Source organism: Homo sapiens, chromosome 3 (assembly GCF_000001405.40).
Source record: "Homo sapiens chromosome 3, GRCh38.p14 Primary Assembly".
Lineage (NCBI taxonomy): Eukaryota > Metazoa > Chordata > Mammalia > Primates > Hominidae > Homo > Homo sapiens.
This window is the reverse complement of record NC_000003.12, coordinates 186696603-186717004: the sequence shown is the minus strand read 5'-3', so window position 1 is coordinate 186717004 and position 20402 is coordinate 186696603. Positions and strand designations below refer to the sequence as shown.

At 42.9% G+C, this 20402-nt stretch overlaps 1 pseudogene; it reads right to left on the bottom strand.

Moving 5' to 3' along the window:
• On the bottom strand, window positions 8431-18485 carry HRGP2 (HRG pseudogene 2; annotated as a pseudogene).

Below are 20402 nucleotides of genomic sequence, written 5' to 3'. Positions count from 1 at the left end.
ATGCACAGGGGCATCCAGTGAGTTCCAGGAGTCCCATGCAGGACATTGGCACAACTGAAAATAAAATATGGGCGTCCTATCTGCTCTCTGGACAGGCCAGCCTTTCTCTGCTCAGTTGCATTAGTTCTGTAAAAGAAAATTGCTCCCAGGGTGGAGATAGAGGAAAAGCATAGGAAGGGATGGGTTGAGTGAAGCCCTGGATTCCCTATGCTTGCTTCTTTCTGGTTTGGTGTTGTTGGTTTGGCACAGAAAAAGATAGCCCCAAATATGGCTCTTTGGCATGCCGAGTACTTTGAACTGAAAGACATTAAAAAGGCTGCAAAAGCAAAGTCTCTTTCTTGCTTTCTCCTGCCCGTCTTTCTCCTGCTCCACTTCTCTCAAGGCAGGCCACAGAAGCTAGAATTTCTCTTCCCCAAGGCGGGTCATAGAACCCTTCTCCCTCAAAGCCAGCAATAAAACTTTATTATTCTTATTTTCCTCACATCAACACAGAGTGGGGAAACTATATTACAGAATGGTCCCCACCTGTAGACCAACATTGGAAAACTACAGTTGATAATCTCAGCAGAAGTGTGAGGCTTGATGGTATCAACATCCTTACTCCAGTAAAAATTGGCCAGGCACGGTGGCTCACACCTGTAATCCCAGCACTTTGGGAGGCTGAGATGGGTGGATCACCTGAGGTCGGGAGTTCGAGACCAGCCTGACCAACATGGAGAAACCCCATCTCCACTAAAAATACAAAATTAGCCGGGCGTAGTGGCACATGCCTGTAATCCTAGTTGCTCGGGAAGCTGAGGCAGGAGAATTGCTGGAACCCGGGAGGTGGAGATTGCAGTGAGCTGAGATTGCGCCATTGCAATCCAGCCTGGGCAACAAGAGCAAAACTCTGTCCAAAAAAAAAAAAAAAAAAAAAAAATTCGGCCTATTCACTCTGCTCCTTGTTCAGACTTTATTTTTTTAAAAAGTCTGTAGAGCCATGTTCATGAGGACAAACCTAATTTTTCTTTTTCTTTCTTTTTTCCTTTTTTTTTTTTTGACACAGGACATAGATGTTTGGACTATTTTCAATCTTTTTGTTTCTGATAAAAAATTATGTAAAGAAAATCTTTGTGCTCACCTATAAAATAGAACAAAGATTTCTTGGAGAGATGTAAAACATGGTTTTGCATCTTATTTTATATACACTTATAAATTTCAGGTTAAATTTATTCTTAGATTCTATGCCTAATTTTTTTTTTTTTTTTTTTTTTTGAGACAGAGTCTTGCTCTGTGGCCTAGGCTGCGGTGCAGTGGTGCAATCTCAGCTCATTGCACTTCCCGGGTTAAAGCAATTCTTCTGCCTCAGCCTCCCAAGTAGCTGGGATTACAGGGGACTGCCACTACGCCCAGCTAATTTTTGTATTTTTAGAAGAGACGAGGTTTCACCATGTTGGCCAGGCTGGTCTCGAACTCCTGACCTCTAGTGATCTGCCTGCCTTGGCTTCCCAAAGTGCTAGAATTACAGGTGTGAGCCACCGCACCCAGATGCTATGTCTAATATTAAAAGCTAGCAATGACTGAGCCTCAGCACTGGCGTCCTAACTACAAGGAGCACCTTTAAATTCATTCAAGGTTGATTGAATTGGATATGACTTTACTTTTCTGCCAAATCGTATTCCTCCCTAATTCTTGGAAAAGTTTTCATACTTTTTATGTGATACTAGCAATTGCACTCCCTTCCCCAGGAGTGTTGTATCTCTTCCCCTACTCCTCCCTCACACACACAGACACACACACACCCAGAGCCATAAGAACCAAAGACACTATGTGTGTGCAAATACCACTTAGTCTGGTACTGCTCATAACAAAGCCTACTTAGAAAACCAACCTGAGGGTTGAAGACTTCACAGTTTATGACATCATAGGACAAATCTGCTCTGCAGAATCCAAAGACGTTCAAAGAGGAGAGAAGCGTGTGTGTGTGTGTGTGTGTGTGTGTGTGTGTCTGTGTGTGTGTATGCATATGGGGAACTGAAGATGCCCAGCCAGAGTTGTGAGCTTCCAGTCTTTCAGCAAAGGAAGAAGAGCTTTAGAAAAATCAGAGTAATATGATCAGATCGCCCCACCAGTGGCTCAACAATCTGTCCTCGTGTACACTTTGAAGAAAGCACAGGTGGTGAAGTGTCTCATTTCAAGTTGTTGTGGTTTTCTGCCATGGAGGAAAGTGTTGAAAAAAAAGGGAACTATACAGCATAAAGATGGGTTTTCACAGATCCTGTCAAGGTAAGTGTCTGCTGGCTCTACCCTAAGTACAAGGGCTACAACTGGCTGGCACTCCTGTGCTCTAGAGGCCCCTAAACCCAGCTGTGAAAGGTGAACTAAGACAGGAGGATGGCTGTCTGCTAGACATGAGCAGGCACCAGCACTGGGCTTCCCCATGGGTGGTGGTGAGGAAAACCATACCATTGCTGCCTTGCCCTTAGGCCAACCCTTCTGCCCTGGAGACCTGAGTTGCCTGTGCTTCAACACCATTCTTCATTCTGCCTTTCACAAAATGTACCACCTAAGTGATAAGGTGAATATCATTTCACTGAAAACGTTCAAATGATATGAATATAAGAAGAGTGTGAAAAATCACCCATCCTGCACCCCAGCTTCTTCTCAGAGGTGCCACTGTCATTCATTTTATATGCTTCTCCTTCTAGCCTTCTATTCACTTCATGGCTTGTATACATTGCAGTCTATTTAATTTTGCATTTTCTTTCTTTCTTTCTTTCTTTCTTTCTTTCTTTCTTTCTTTCTTTGTTTCTTTCCTTCTTTTCTTTCTTTCTTTTTCTTTTTCTTTTCTTTCTGTTTTGATGGAATCTCACTCTGTGGCCCAAGCTGGAGTGCAGTGGCATAATCTCGGCTCATTGCAACCTTCACCTCTGGGGCTCAAGCGATTCTTCTGCCTCAGCCTCCCAAGTATTTGGGACTACAGGTGCGTGCCACCACACCTGGTTAATTTTTTGTATTTTTAGTAGAGACGGGGTTTCACCATGTTGCCCTGGATGGTCTCAAACTCCTGACCTCAGGCGATCCACCCACCTCGGCCTCCCAAAGTGCTGGGATTACAGGCATGAGCCACTATGCCCGGCCTAACTTTGCATTTTCTAAATGCATGACAAACATCAACCAACTGGCAGTATCTCTCATGTCTATTCCTCATTCTCATTGCCCTAATTCCCACTGCCTGGGTCTGGCCCTCATTCCCGCATACATAAAATAACTTCCAAGTTCATGTCCCTGTCGCCTGCCTGAGATTCCCCAGGCACCCTGGGGCCTCTCCCACTCACCCACTCTGTATGCTAGCTCTCAGAGGTAGCTCTGTGCTGAAGCACGCTGTGCTATAACCTGGAGCAGAGTCTGGAATGGGAGTAAGGTCACTGAATGGAATTCTAAGTTCCAGCACTCCTGTTCTCTACAACTTGCAGTGCTCCCTCTCTGATACATTAAGAAGGGTACATTGCTTTGTAGCACTCCTGTGGTACTCTGTAGTGCTCCTGGTCTGTCCTCCTGATTTCAGTTGTTTCACCAAAGAGGGAGTAGTTTATTTTGGGAGAGAGAAGGGAGGCTTCATGTCTTTCCATAATGTCTTCAGCCACTCAAATCCACTCCAGGTAAGCAAAGAATCGAAGTGAAAACAGTAGCCTTGTTTTGCCTTAAGATGAGCCCACAGGCTCATCTCCCAAATAATGACAGCTCCAGAGCCCACACAGAACTTCTGGAACCCCCTGCTTATATTCAATTATTCCCCAACACCCTTCTTTCTGATTCCCTACCCACCTAGAAGTAGTGGTGCCAGGAATTCACCAGGAATGCCTTTACCCAGACCCTCTTCCTATGCAAATCCTACCCATGCATCACTACACAGCTGAAGCCTCTTCCCATGCAATCCTAATAGATCCGCCTTCATTACGTAGCCCCAGTACGTTTACCACTCCTGTGTTCGCTTGAATATTGTTGGGACCCAGAATACGATGTTCCAAACTGTGGTGCCTTGATATGCTGAGTCCTTTGAACTGAAGGAAACCAAAAGGGCCTCAGAAGCGAGATCTGTTTGACCTTCTCCCACTCTACTTTCTCCTGCTCTCCTTTCTCCCTTAAGGCACCATAGAAACTAGAATTCTTCTTCCCCCAGGCAGGTCCCAGAAAGTGAAATACCTCTGCCCCCAAACAGCCATAAAACCTAAAATATAGCTCTACCTTCCCCCCTGGGCCTTTCTTTGTAGGAGCTGGCCATAAAGAAATTCCAGGATATACCCTGTCTGATAATAGGTCCTCAGATCCATATTCCAGAGGGATTGGGCCCTATACCCAGAAGCAAGAATTGCCACACAGAGGGGCCATGGAGAACTCAAACTGAAGGCCTCGCTGGGTTTCCCCTGACCGTCTATTACTATGGGATCTTTCCCTATTAATCCAATCACATTTTATACTGTTGTACAGTCTTCGTCGACTTAAGCCTAACAACGAACAGTGTCACTTGTGTGTTTGGGTCTTCATCCTGAAGACTTCCATGCTATAAAAACTTGGATTAAATGAATATGCTATGCTTTCCCTTGTTAACCCTTTTTGTTGTTGTAAGACCCTTATAAGGGTCGCATCTGTAAGGAAAGGCATCACACCTTTTTGCCCCTACGGTGGATATCGTGGTTTGCATTCACAAAACCTAAGCAAACTTTTAAATAAATTTAGACTATTCAGAGAGAGGAGTTTTAAAGGTAGGTTACAGACATGGGTTTGTCCTTAGCAAATGTGTATCTTCAAGGTTTGAAAACATAAAGTTTGAAGTTTTGTTGTGTTAGGATGTCTAACTTGCCAGTTGATTCTCCCTGGAGTCCCTGGAGAAGGGTCAGTGGGAGCAAATGGGGCCCTTGTAGGGGTGGGGCAGGAACATGAGCTCGGCAGTAAGTCCAACCTGGATTCCAATCTAGCTCTGCCACTTACCTATGTGATCCCAAGCAAGGCAGGGTCGCATAACCTTTCTGAGCCTTAGGTTTCTCACCTGTAAATGGTAGAAAATCATAATATTTTAACGGTGTTTTTGAGAAGTGAATGAGGTAATATTAATATATGTGCAGGGCGTGGTGATTATTTCTTATAAACTATCTCCAAAGCTAGGGAAAGGTGTCTAAGAATCCCTGCCTGACTGAAATAGCTTCAGGTTCATAGTCATGGGAGAAGGTAGATTGTAATGGGGAATTGTGTGGAAAACATGAAGAGTGGAAGAGATTTTGTGAAGTTCTGAGACAGAGAGGAAGGAAAAGTAGAGATGCAGTAGCTGAACACTGGGAGGATGGGGAAATGCATGAGGGAGCACTGTCCAGGGGGAAGTGGACAGGAGTGGTCGAGGCTGACCAGAATGTGTGTTTCCAGTGAAGGCTCACAAACAGGCCAGGCGCGGTGGTTCACACCTGTAATCCCAGCACTTTGGGAGGCAGAGACAGGCGAATCACTTGGGGTCAGGAGTATGAGACTAGCCTTGCCAACATGGCGAAACCTCATGTCTACTAAAAATACAATAATTAGCTGGGCATGGTGGCAGGTGCCTGTAATCACAGCTACTTGGGAAGCTGAGGCAGGAGAATCTCTTGAACCCAGGAAGGGGGAGGTTGCAGTGAGCCGAGATCGTACCACTGCACTCCAGGCTGGGCGACGAGCTGGAAACTCCATCTCAAAACAATAACAACAAAAGAAACAGGCCCGGGCAGCGTCTGCCGGCAGTGTCATCAAGAAGACAGCATGTGGCTGTGGCAGAGGCCTATCAAGGTTCTAATTCCAGTCCCACATTTTCTGACTGTAAGATCCTAAGTAAGTAATTCGACCTTTTTGGTTCTCCTCTTTCTTCCCTAAGAAATGGTGATGGTACAGCCCATTTTCCTTGCCTATGTCCCTTTCCTCCTTGGAGTACAGGTAGACTTCATTTCCCCATCTCCCTTGCATTAGGTGTGGCCATATGACTGAGTTCTAGCCAGTGAAATGTGAGCATGAATCATGCATGCGCCTTCCAGACCCGGCCCACAGAAACCACCTTCATGATCCTCCACTCTCTCCCCATGTGGGCTGGATGCAGAGGATCCAAGAGACAATTCTGAGGCCAAGGGGAAGGCAGAGCCACAGACAAAAGGGGCCTGGCATCCCGAATCACCATGCAGATGGCCACCTGCTGATAACCCGTATTGACCTGTAACATGACAGAGAAATCACATTCTCCATCATTAGGCCACTGAGTTTGTTTGTTCCAGCAACTGACCTATTTTGATACAATGATATTTTCTGTATAAGGGACTTGTTGGTAAAGATGAAATTACAAAACAGAAAAATCTTCAGAGTCATAATAAATGTTTACTGCACCAGGTCATTAAATAAACGTTTCTTGAACCCCTCGTGTTTGGGAGGCGCTTTAGTGAACAAACCAGACAACGTCTGTGCTATTATGTGGATGAAGAAAAAGAGGGAACCGGTAAGCATTTCTCTCCTGTAGGACGTAGAGAGTGGTGGTGCCACTGACAGCAAGGGTGATGGTGGGAAGTGGGAGAACTTTTCCAGAGAAGAGTGAGGCGACTGGGCTTTAGACATTTGAGGAGGCAGTCACATTCCCTCTGTGAACATCACCTGTGAAAGTCTACAGAGTATTTGCAAAGATTCATAGCCTTTTTAGCCATGATGACATAAAAAGTCTAGAAAGGCAAGGACACATGGTGTATCGTCTAAAGCCTCTAGTAGAATGTGTGATCTCAGGGTGGGAATGGTTTCTTTCTTTCTTTTTTTTTTTGAGATGGAGTCTCGCTCTGTCGCCCAGGCTGGAGTGCAGTGGCGCGATCTCGGCTCACTGAAGTTCTGCCTCCCGGGTTCACATCATTCTGCTGCCTCAGCCTCCCGAGTAGCTGGGACTACAGGCGCCCGCTACCACACCTGGCTAATTTTTTTTGTTTTTAGTACAGACGGGGTTTCACTGTGTTAGCCAGGATGGTCTCGATCTCCTGACCTCGTGATCCGCCCGCCTCAGCCTCCCAATGTGCTGGGATTACGGGCGTGAGCCACCGCGCCCGGCCCGGGAATGGTTTCTTATCCCATTATTCCCCTGCAGTATCAGGTGTGCATGTGAAGAATGCATTTAATTGAAATGAATTGAGAGCTTCAACTCCTCTGTATTCAAGGTAGTATTGTAATTAATTCAAGCAATGTTCATGAAAGTACTTTGTAAATTATTGAACCCTATTCCAGTGCTTCTGCAGGAGGATACATTCCGAGTTATTAACCTCTGTATCTTTTGTCCTCCCTGGTTCTCATCTTTCTCTTCTCCCCATTCAAGCAGCTGACCTGGTGTCCATGCCTCCAGGAGGAATGTGATTCTTCAGGGCCACATGCAGCTACATCTGCCAGCGTGGCCACACTGGTTGTTTATGGATGGTGGCTGTTCTGATTCGTTGTTTTATCTGGACTGATTGGTCAGTGCTTGTTTCATATTGGTTATGCAATACTTTGAGTATCACCATTGTAGTTGGAAGGTGTAGAGAATCTGAATTCTTTTTTCTTGTTTCAAATGATTGAGCTCTGATTTGAGAAGGAAAAGGAAAGACGATTTCAGCATGGAAAAATAGTCTTCTGGCCCTAAAAATAAATAAAGTGAACTTGCCTGAAACTAGAAAGAGAGCCCTTAGCTGAGGAAGAAGATATAAGAAGAGCAGCGGGGCCTGGGGTCTTTGAAGCAGAGGACACCTCTGCCCTGCTTTCTGGGCCTGTAGCCAGAAAGGCAGCAAGAAGCCAGGGAGAGAATAGTCACATGCCTTATCTTAGCAGTCATGTCCATTGCTAGTTACAGACACTCCTGCATCCACACTTTGCTACAGAAGTAGCAGATAAACCAGACTCAGAGTGATGTGAACAGGGTGGTGACTATCCCTTAGCAGGGGCGACTGTTGGGCTAATGATCAAGGATCAGACCTCCTTCTGGTGGTCACTACCGAGACAGCTTGGCACTGTGTGAGATTCTAGAACTGTGGCCCAACCTTGTGTGGAAAATAGCAGGGTAGGGCAAGGGTACCCCAAGAAGGACTGGGGCTAAATTTCCCACTAGGCCAGTAGGATTGCAACATGAAATTGAAATAAATTTGTTCAGAACATAAAGTGATATTTCTTGTGAACATGAATTTACGATCATGATTTATGCCAGCAAACTTCTTTGCAATTTATAGCCAGAGGTTTGTTTGCTTCATGATTGAATTTAGAACTTATTTTTCCAAGAGGAAATTTATGTAACTAGAAATAATCACTAGGAGAGAATTTGCATCACTTTTGTAATAATAATAATCATCATCTTCATCACTATCATCGTCCATCCTTTAAGTACCATACCTTCTTGGTATGCCCAGATGTAGCCCAAGCAGTAATAGAGACTGTAGAATTAGAGTCATGAGGGTGATTTTGGGTCCTGTTTGTGCCAGAAGGGGTGTGATGACCTGTTGACCAAGAAGGGGGCAATTGTGAAGGAGCTCTTTTGTTGAAGTGGAGGTCTGTCCGAGTGATCTTTTTCATCTGGGCGAGGTGGGAATCCAAGTTCTTGTGGCTTGTGGGGATAATGGTGATCTCGGGACCCGTGGGGTTTAAATGGAAGCTTAGCAGTAGGAGAATGCTCATGTCCACCAGAGTGAAAAGGTTAGCCCAAATGTGAAAAAAGGATAGCCCAAATGGGGTTTACACCATTGATGATTCTATATTCCTGGTTATGGAACACAGAAAAGTGAATATCATCATGTAACACGCAATGAGAACTTAGACATTTAACTGGGTTTAGACCAATGGCGCCCAGATCTTGGGTTCCACAAATGAATTTGAAAAGTAGAATTTAAAAAACGGTTCTGAAATTGTCATCTAACCCAGTTGATATTTAAAATATAAACAACTGTCATCTTCCATCATCATTTCACAAAAGGGTCAGAAATACAACTTCAGAGTAAAAGATAGTCCTACAGATGGATAAATGTTAGATATAAAAAACATTGTTATCAGCTGGATATGGTGGCTCATGCCTGTAATCCCAGCACTTTGGGAGGCCCAGGTGGGCAGATCACTTGAGCTCAGGAGTTCGAGACCAGCCTGGGCAACACGACGAAACCCCATCTCTATGGAAAAAAAAAGAAACATTATTATCCTTATTTTTCTCATTTTAACAGACAGTGGTGAAACTATATTATGGCCTGGAACCCATGTGTGGGACCAACACTGGGGAACTAGTGCCTTATCATTGATTTTTTTTTTTTTTTTTGAGAGGGAGTCTTGCTCTGTCACCTAGGCTGGAGTCAGTGGTGCGATCTCGGCTCACTGCAAGCTCCGCCTCCTGGGTTCACACCATTCTCCTCTCAGCCTCCGGAGTAGCTGGGACTTCAGGCGTCCACCACCATGCCCAGCTAATTTTTTGTATTTTTAGTAGAGATGGGGTTTCACCGTGTTAGCCAGGATGGTCTGGATCTCCTGACCTCGTGATCCTCCCGCCTCGGCCTCCCAAAGTGCTAGGATTACAGGCGTGAGCCACTGCGCCCGGCCTTATAATTGATATTCTTGATAGAGGTCTGAGGCTTGACGGTATGGACATCCCTTACTCCCCAAGGCTGAACACTTAACCTCTTCCCCCTCTTCCTTGTTTAGAGTTTAATTTTTAAAAATATCTACAGAGTCATGTTCATGGTGACAACCCTGCCCTTTGTTTCTCTTTCTTTCTTTTTTTAATTTGGGATGTGGATGTTTGGAGTATTTTCAGTTTTGTTTCTGATATAAAAAATTCCATGAAGCAAATCTTTGTACTCATGTAAAAAATAGAACTAAGATTTCTGGGACAGATGTAAAATATAGTTTTGCATCTTATTTATATACATTTATATAATAAATTTGAGGCTAATTTATTCTCCTTAGATTCTGTGCCTAATAATAAAAGCTAGGAATGACTAAGTCTCAGCGCTGGAGTCCTGACTGCAAGGAGCATTTTCAAATTCATTCAAGGTTGATTGAATTGGACATGATTTTACTTTTCTTCCAAATCTTGTTTCTCCCCAATTCTTGGAAAAGTATTTGTACTTTTCATGTGATAATAGCAATTGCACTCCTTTCCCCAGTATGGGGCATGCTCTGTATCTCTTGTCTTTCTCTTTCTCTCTCTTTCACACACAATCTCTCTTACAAAGCCATAAGAACCAATTACACTATGTGTGTGCAAATTCACTTAGTCTGGCACTGCTCATGACAAAGTTGCTTAGACAACCCACCTGAGGGTTGAAGACTTTGCAGATTACGACAAGATCTTTTGGGCTTTTCAAGTCCAAGGCTCCTGCATCGTAGGACAAATATACTCTGCAGACTCCATAAACTTTCAAAGGAGAGATAAACCTGTTAGTGTGTGTGTGTGTATGTGTGGTGTATATGTGCGCACATGGGGAAGTGAAGATGCCCAGCCAGAGGTGTGAACTTCCAGACATTCAGGAAAGGAAGAAGAGCTTTAGAAAAAATAAGAGTAATATGATCAGATATCTACATCAGCTGTTCAGCAATCTTTCCTCGTTAACACTTTGGGGAAAGTGCAGGTGGTGAAGGGTATCACTCAAGTTGCTGTGGTTTTGTCATGAGCAGGCACCAGCACTGGGCTTCCCCATGGGTTGTGGTGAGGAAAACCACATCATTGCTGCCTTGCCTTTAGGCCAACCCTTCTGCCCTGGAGACCTGAGTTGCCTGTGCCTAGAAACAATGAAGAATGTTATTGAAGAGGGATTTTTGCAACTTCAGCTAGTCCCTTGGAGGAAAGTGTTGGACAGGAGGGCACCCATATAGCATAAAGATGGGTTTTCATGGACACTGTCAAGGCAAGTGTCTGTTGGCTCCACCGTAAACACAAGGGCTACAACTGGCTGGCACTCCTGTGCTCCAGAGGCCCCAACCCCAGCTGTGAAAGATCGACTAGGTCAAGAGGACAGCTGTCTGCTAGAAGAAACTGCTAAGCATTGAGGTTCTGAGTACAGTTTGGGAATCAGAGAGACCTATGTTAATCCTGGCTTCTCCATTTCCTAGTTGTGAGTTTGGGAAAGTTACACAAAATTTCTGAAAGCCAGCCATTGTAAAATGGGGATAATAATATGTACTCACAGGTGTAGGAAGGCTCTATTATTATTATTATTATTATTATTATTATTATTGAGACAGAATCTCACTCTGTCACTGAGGCTGGAGTGCAGTGGTGAGATCTCAGTTCACTGCAACCTCTGCCTCCTGGGTTCAAGCGATTATCCTACCTCAGCCTCCCAAGTTCCTGGGACTACAGGAGCCTGCCACCATGCCCTGCTAATTTTTGTATTTTTTGGTAGAGACAGGGTTTCACCGTGTTGGCCAGGCTGGTCTTGAACTCCTGCCTCAAGTGATCCGCCTGCCTTTGTCTCCCAAAGTGCCGGGATTACAGGCGTCATGCCCGGCATTGGAGGGCTCAGTTAAATGAGAGTGTGCTGTAAAACATTTAGCCCCCAGCCTCTTCTCCGGCTTCCATGGTTCACGACTGGGCTTACATTACCCACACCAAACTCAGGAAGAGTTAGTTGGGGATGGGGATAGGGGAAGGAGGTGTCTTTTCTGGTGGCCTCTAAGCAGAATTCTACAACTGGTTCAGGTTGATAATTTCCACAGCCTGAAAAGTAACTAATATATGATTCCTTCCTTCCAGCTATGAACAATATGTTGTCAAGCCTCAGAAAAATCCTCAATGTGAAATCAGAATTAAAATTCTGTGTCCTAAAACTTTCTAGATAATTGCCCTTTGTTAAGTGTTTAAAACTCTAGGCCACCTTTTCCCAAGGAAATGGAGGCAGACACTTGCTTTTCCTTGTCAGTGGCATTATCTTGAGGTTCTAAAATGGCAGTAGTATATGTGACAGTGTTTTGTAAACTGTAGGTCACCATGCAAATACCAGTTATTATTAGCAACAATTTCCTGCAGGTACATGGGTATCAATTTGTAAATAATCAGGTGAAAAATCCCACAGGACTATGCATGAAAAGAAATGGATTTTAATCTCAGCTTGGTTGTGAATGTTGGCAAGACCCTTCATTAGTTGAGCATCAGTTACCTCCTCATTTATCAAATGGGATCTTTGTGGGTGTCAATCAGTTGGAATGAATAAAAATACTTGCTGTGTAGGGTCTTAATAAAAGCTGGTTATAAACATAGGAAAAAAGCTCAATATCACTAATCGTTAAAGAAATGCAAATCAAAACCACAATGAGATACCATCTCATGCCAGTCAGAATGGCAATTATTAAAAAGTCAAGAAATAACAGATGCTGGCAAGACTGTGGAGAAATAGGAACACTTTTACACTGTTGGTGGGAATGTAAATTAGTTCAACCATTGTGGAAGACAGTGTTGTGATTCCTCAAAGACTTAGAACCAGAAATACCATTTGATCCAGCAATCCCATTACTGGATATATATTCAAAGGAATATAAATCCTTCTATTATAAAGATGCATGCACACATATATTCATTGGAGCACTATTCACAATAGCAGAGACATGGAGTCAACCCAAATGCCCATCAGTGATAGACTGGATAAAGAAAATATGGTACATATATACCATGGAATACTATGCGGCCATAGAAAGGAACAAGATTGTGTCCTTTGCAGGGACATGGATGGAGCTGGAAGCCATTATCCTCAGCAAACTAACACAGGAACAGAAAACCAAATGCCACATGTTCTCACTTATAAGTGGGAGCTGAACAATGAGAACACATGGACAAAGGGAGGGGAATATCACACACTGGGGCCTCTAGGGGGGTGTGGGGGAAGGGAGAGCATCAGGAAAAATAGCTAATGCGTGCTGGACTTAATACTTAGGTGATGGGTTGATAGGTAAAGCAAATCACAGTGGCACACATTTACCTGTGTAACCTGCATATCCTGCACATGTACCCAGAACTTAAAATTAAAAAAAAAAATAAATAAAAGCTGGTTATTATTTTTAGCTAAGTCTTTAATCTGATTCATATGATATATGAAATTATATGAAAATTATATGATTTTATAATATACATGATATATACCTAAACTTAAAACTGAGTTTTTTTTTTTTAATTCTTTCCTTAGAAGGGAGGAAGCATGATTCACATAACTTCTGTGGCCTCAGGTTTCCCATCTGCAAACGGGATAAAAATAGTATCTATCTCAGTATCTCAGCTGATCACGGTGGCTCATGCCTGTAATCCCAGCACTTTGGGAGGCCAAGGTGGGTGGATCAAAAGGTCAGGAGTTCAAGACTATCCTGGCCAACACGGTGAAACCTCGTCTCTACTAAGAAAAAAAAAAGATTAGCTGGGCATGGTGGTGGTGGCACACGCCTGTAATCCCAGCTACTCAGGAGGCTGAGGCAGGAGAATTGCTTGAACCCGAGTGGCGGAGGTTGCAGTGAGCTGAGATTGCGCCATTGCATCCAGCCTGGGTGACAGAGCAAGACTCCGTCTCAAAAAAAAAAAAAGTATCTATCTTACAGGGTGGTGGGAGGGCTAATAATTTACCATATATGTAAAGCACTTATAAGAATGCCTGGCAGATAATAAGTGCTCCAAGATAATTATTTGGCTGAGACATTTTTTACACTCACATTGGGGTGTCTGGGAAAATGGTGCCTGGAGCAGTTCCTCACAGAGAAGTCCACATAGTAATTGGCTCATTTCTCTCCTCTCTAGAACAGGTGGGAACAAAACAGTTTCAGGAACAAAACAGTTTTCAGTTTTCAGTGAAAAGGAAAAAATAAAGCAGCAGATACCTACCATCCAACATATTGGAAAGCACTAGGAGGATTCAAAACCACCAATATGTGCATTTTTCTTATGGATTCTGCCTTCTAAAAATATATATCACCTAAGTGATAAGGTGAATACCATTTCATTGAAAAGGTTCAAATAATACGAACACAATGAAGCAGGGTGTGAAAAAAACCTTCCTGCACCCCAACTTCTACTTTTCAGAGATTTCACTCATTCAGTTAATGTGTTTTTCCTTCTAGACTTTTCCTAGATATGTAGCACATATACAGGTAGACCTAAGTAATTAATATAAATGGGTTCATTTTCTAAATATTGTTCTGTAACCTTTTCCCATAACAATATGTCTTGAAACTCTTTCAAATGCACATGAGTTCAAATATTCTTTGAGCAACTTTACTGTCCTCATTTCTTATATGCATCACAATTGATTTACTGTTGCATTTTCTGAATGCATGACAAACATCAACCAGCTGCTCTGAAAACAGTTCTGGGTGGGAGCAATTGAGTCCCTGTAGAGTGAGCAGGGAACTGTCTAATTCCACCCACACCACTGGGTGTGGTGAGGTTTCTCTGAGCCTCAGTTTTCTATCATAGTGCAAGGAGGTTAATATTGGATGATTTTTAATGACATATGCTCTTGTCTTTCTCTATTTCCTCTTTGGATTGTCCTTCCTTTCTAACAGATATTCACTGCCCCTACACCCTCCAAAAGATTAAAAGACTTGGAGGAGAGCAGTTCTTCCAGGATAGCAGTATCTGCTGCCTGCTGACTCTTATTCCTCCAAATGCTACAATGGGGGCCTCAGATGAAAAGGCAGCTGGTCCAGTGAGGCAGGTGGAGAGGGGGTGTCGTTCAGTTCCTGCTGCCAGGTTGGAGCCTGGGCCCTCAGACTCCAGCTGGATATTAGTGGAGACTCAACACTCTTGCAGTTCTCTGGACTTGGTCCACTCCGAAAGAGGGAAAGTCATCATTCTCTCCTTTGTACTTCACAAGGGCTTTGTTGGCTTGTTTTCTGTAGAGCTCGGTATCCTTGAGGGAATCTAAGAGGACGGGACTATCCTTGGTATTGGCCAATGCTGAAGAGACTAGAGAAAGAAAATGGCAGTGTCGCAGTTAAGGTTTGAAAATGGCAACGGGGACTCAGTGGAAGGAAGGACAATAACTTTCATTTTACAGATAGACAAATGGAAGGTTGGGGGATGTAAGTGACTTCTTCAAGATGAATCAGCCAACCAGCAACAGAACTGAACTGCTGATCCTTCCTTCCTTTCCTATGATGCCCGAGTCTCAGTTGTTACCCCTACTCATGATGCCTCCACCACTGCCACTCATCAAGTGCTAATATTTTAAAGAAGTCCTCCTGTGTTTGCCAAGGAGGAAGAGACATTATCAACATAAAGGTTTGCACAGAGAGCGGAGAAGATACAGCTCAACCTTTCTTTAAGGCAACCTCCTTCAGCAGTAGCTTGCCTACTGAATTTTTATATATAGAATCATGGTGAAATTTGCCATTAAACAAATTCTGTGATAATTCTTTTTGAATAAGTAAAGAAAAAGAGCATGGAAATTAGCGTCAACACTGTTAGTATAGAGTCCTATCTTCATTGAGCCTTGGCTGTGCTCCCAAGGGCAAGTCATTAAACCTCTTCCAGTCACAATTATTTTATCTCTTAAGTTGACAGTATCATAATCTATATTTTATTGCCTTGTTGGGACATTAAATGAGGTAACAGGCATCATTGTTTTGTAAACTGTAGAGTAATTCATGGCATTTAAATGTTGACATCAATACTTACTGAGTGCTAAGAATAATCTGCAAAGTGTGCTACATAGAGCATGTTATTTAATTCTTTTTTATTGCATGTTATTTAATTCTAAAAGAATTCAAAAAGCTAATGTTGTTGCTATCTTATTTTGCAAGTGATAAAAGTTTAAAAAGTTTAAGTAACTTCTGCCTTGTGTAATTTTACATAACTCCTAAGTGATGAGGTTCAGATTCAAACTAAAGCAAGGCTGGCTCCAGAGCCTATTTCTCTGTGTTGCTATCCTACCAGTCATAAATCTCTATTTTTAAGCCTTGAATTCCTTTAGAGGAAGGTGTACCAGTACCAGGGGAACCTGTCTCCCTTCTGTTCTCTGGAGGGTCAGTAATGAAGTCCATGAGGGCAGGGACCCTTTCTTTCATGTACATCATGGCATTATGAGACGAATACCACTGTATGATTGAGTTTGTATTAATCAAGAATCGATTAGCAATTTAACAGATTACCATACCACAACTTGTGGTGCAGTCAAAGTTACTCTGAGATCCTGAGATTCATGGGAATGTCTTGTAGCCATTACCTTACATTGTCTGATCACCTGAAAGAAAGAGGCTCTTGAGGCCGGGCGTGGTGGCTCACGCCTGTAAGTCCAGCACTTTTGGAGGCCAAGGTGGGCAGATCAGTGGAGGTCAGGAGTTTGAGACCAGCCTGGCCAACATGGTGAAACCCCGTCTCTGCTAAAAATACAAAAATTAGCCAGGCGTGGTAGCATGGCCTGTAATCCCTGTTACTCTGGGGGCTGAGGCAGGAGAACTGATTGAGCCCAGGAGGTGGAGGTTGCAGTGAGCTGATATCGGACCACTGCACTCCAGCCGGGGTGACATAGCAAAACTCCATCTCCAAAAAATCTAAAAACAAAAAATAAAAAGAGGCTCTTGAGGCCTTGCTGAGTCATTGTGTCCTGCCTTCCTCAGGTCAGATATGACAGAGCAAAAAGAAGCAACATCCTCCTACTGTCCATTTAAAATGCATTTGGGGTTTCCTTCATCAAAGCTTGTCTCAAAACCTGCCTTTTTCTTAGTCAGTCTGTGTGCTGTATCCTGTTGGCACCAAAAATTCTCAGGAGAACCAGAGAGAAACTATTTAAAGCATCATGGCCATACCCCAAACATTTTCAAGGGAAAAAGTGGTGAAACTCCTAGGAGTGTGAACCTCTCATTTTCTGGAAATGAAGTCTTGAATCTTTGCTTATTCATCTTCATGTTCTCCAGCTGTATCAGAGAGCCTGGCGTTTGAGTACCCACCTCCCACATGCACAGTGAAACCCTCTTCCTCAGTGTATGTGCAAGGCACAGAAGGAGACCCGAGCCCTCACATGTCCCCTCATAATTCGCAACATATCCCTTTGGCCATTCCTGAAAACAGGACCAGTGTTCATAGGACACAATTACAAGTTCATAGATTCTTTTTTTTTTTTTTTGGCTTAAAAGATATCATCAATCTTTTATTTAACTAAGCACTGCCCTTCATTTTGAAGGAAATGATAAATTCAAGTTGGAACTTCCTTCTCAAGAAGTGATATAAGAATGTAATATTGATTTAACATACAACCTTCCACAAAAATAAAGTTTATACAATTCACTGGGAAATAAAATGCATGTGGAATTTTATCCTGTTTGTTAACATAATTCTTCAGGAATCAGGAGTATTATAGCCAAGAACAAAACAACCTAATGAAAAGCTGAATGAATCAGTTTATTGTTACTCTGATTTAAAAAACATTTCACAAGTAAGAGGTAGCTTTCCAAACATATCCATTTGATGATCATGATCACAACTAGATTTTATTCTAATTTATAAAACAAAAAATGATTAGACAAGCACATGATATCAAGAGTCTTCAACCTAGTGGATTCCATTTCATTAAGCAAAAAAAAAAAAAAAAGAAAGAAAGAAAACAAGTAGCCCTTAAATTTTCTTAGCTCTCTATAGCATACATTATATAAAATTAAAGTTTTGCTTCCAAAAATATGTCTCCATGTTGTCGTGATGTTGTCCAGTACTATTAGGGCCAAAACACCAAAGACATGAGAAGTTTAACCACTGACTTGTCACTTTTCATAAAAACTAAACATTTCCTTATAGGTCTGGAGTAAAATCTTCTAGGCATTTTAGTGCTAAAAGTCATTTCAAATTAAGTGTGAAATAAAAGCTACAAAAAGTATGAGTTCTTTCAATACAAAAAGCTGTGTAGCTGAAGTTGTGGGCTCGTTTGACATACATAAGCAGTTTCAGTAAAATATTTGCTCAGGTAAGGAAATAGAATTTGTCTGCTGTCATTTAGCATACGTTCCAGTCCATGTCCTGCTTATACCTTCCAGACCTTCTAAAGAACATTAGAATCGATATTTCTAAAGTCTTATTCCTGCTCCCTCTGTCGGATTCTTATAGACGGTCAGGAGCAGAAGGCCTTAGAGTCCATGAACTCCAAACCCCTCTTCTTATTTTACAATAAAAAACACTGACGTGAAGGGGTGTTATTAGGTGATTTGCCCAAGGACTTACAGCTGGTCATGCTGTTTCATGGGCCCACAGCCCTGCTGAGGTATCTCAAATTGGGTTCCTAGGAATGACTCTCAATAGTATTATTCAAGGTCAATATCATCTTCATGAATCTCAAGGCAAAAGCTGCCCTTTCTCTTCTGCTGTGTTAGCTCAGGCATTGGCTGCCCTGAGTGAGAAGAGCAGATGGAAAGTAAAAACGATAGGAGCAGGGCAAAGGTGCCCTGTCACTTAGCATATCAGATGGACATCTGAAAACAGCTGGCTCACAGTCATTCCAGTGTTTCCTGGATAGGACCGAATAATCAGATTCTTGCACATCTAAGACTAATACACATGTGATGGTTAGTACTGAGTGTGAACTTGATTGGATGAAGGATGTAAAGTATTGATCCTGGGTATGTCTGAGAGGCTGTTGCCAAAGGAGATTAACATTTGAGTTACTGGGCTGGGGAAGGCAGACCCACCCTTAATCTGGTGGGCACCATCTAATCAGCTGCCAGCAAATATAAAGCAGGCAGAAAAACATGAAAAGGCGAGACTGGCCTAGCCTCCTAGCCTATATCCTCCTCCTGTGCTGGATGCTTTTGCCCTCGAACATCGGACTCCAAATTCTTCCATTTTGAAACCTGGACTGGCTCTCCTTCCTCCTCAGACTTGCAGACAGCCTATTGTGGGACCTTGTGATTGTGTAAGTTAATATTTAATAAACTCCTATATATATATATATATATATATATATATATATCCTATTAGTTCTGTCCCTCTAGAGAACACTGACTAATAAAACACAGCTGCAGTTTCCCGAAAAATGCCAAAAGCGATACGTGAATAGCATGCGGCAGTCCAGAGGTTTTTTTCTTTTTTTTAAATAGAAGTAATATCTACCTTTATATCTTACACAGAATTCTCACTGCTCTCCACATCTTTTCAGATGTCCTACCTTTATGTCATTTGATGAGTTAATTTGAATAAATAGCTTCAATGAGTTATTTCCAAATCTTCTTTTTATGTGGTCATGATGTTTCTTCTGCCCTTGAGCTTTAAGAAGCTATCACTAAATGGCAGTGGTGGTTTGGTGGAGGTGTTGAAGTGTTGAAGGGACACGCCGAGAAGTATAAGCGATGACAGCTTCATCAGGGCCTCCAGTCTGTTCTTGTAGTTGTGCGCTCTTGCCCAGGTCTATTCCTGAACATGAATTCCCTGCTTTGATGTCACTTTGCCCAAAGCTCAACCCTCTCTCTTCTCTTACAAACCAGCTGCCTCTCCACTTCCCTTGTCTTTGTCAGTGGCACCATTAATTACATATTGCCTTAGACTGGGGTAAAACATGTAAACCTACGAGATGTCTTACTTTTCCTTGCTTTTGTTATCCAGTACCAGGCCCTGAATGGTCTTTCTTGGCAAATGTCTCTCTTGTCTATTCCTCATTCTCATTGCTTTAATACCCACTGCCCAGGTTTGGCCTTCATTCTCTCACACCAGCATACATAAAATAGCTTCCTAGTTCATGTCCCTGTCTCTTGCCTCAGTTTCCCCAGGCACACTGAGTTCTCTCCACACCCACCCACTCTCTATGCTAGCTCTTAGAGGTAGCTCTGTGCTGATGTATCCTGTGCCTTAACATGTGACAATGAGCCTGGAGTGGGACTAATGGTCACTGAATTGCTGGTTGAATCCTAAATTCCTGCACACCTGTTTTCTACAATCTACAGTGCCCCCTCTCTGATACTTTAAGAAGGGTAGAAGGGTAAATTGCTCTGTTTGTCCTCTGTAGTACTCCTGGTCTGTCCTTCTGGTTTCAGTTGTTCCACCAAAGGGAGGGTAGCTTATTTTGGGATAGAAGAGGGAGGCTTCAGTTCTCTCCCTAATGTCCATCAGCCCCTCAAATCCACTTCAGGTAGGCAAATAATCTAAAAGTGAAGACAGTAAGCTTGCTTTCCCTGAAGATAAGCCCGGTCTCTCCTCCCATCTGATGGCAGCTCCAGAGCCAACATAGATGCAGCCCCTCTGTGTATATTCAATGGCTCTCTAGCACCCTTCTTCCTGATTCTCTACCCATCTAGAAGTGGTGTGCTATGAATTCACCAGGAATGCCTTTATGCGGGCTCTCTTCCTATGCAAATCCTTCCCTTGCATCACTACCCAGCTGAAGCCTCCTCCCACACAATCCTAATAGATCCTCCTTCATTAAATTGCCCCAGTACATTTACCACTCCTGTGTTCACTTGAATATTTTAGGGCTCAG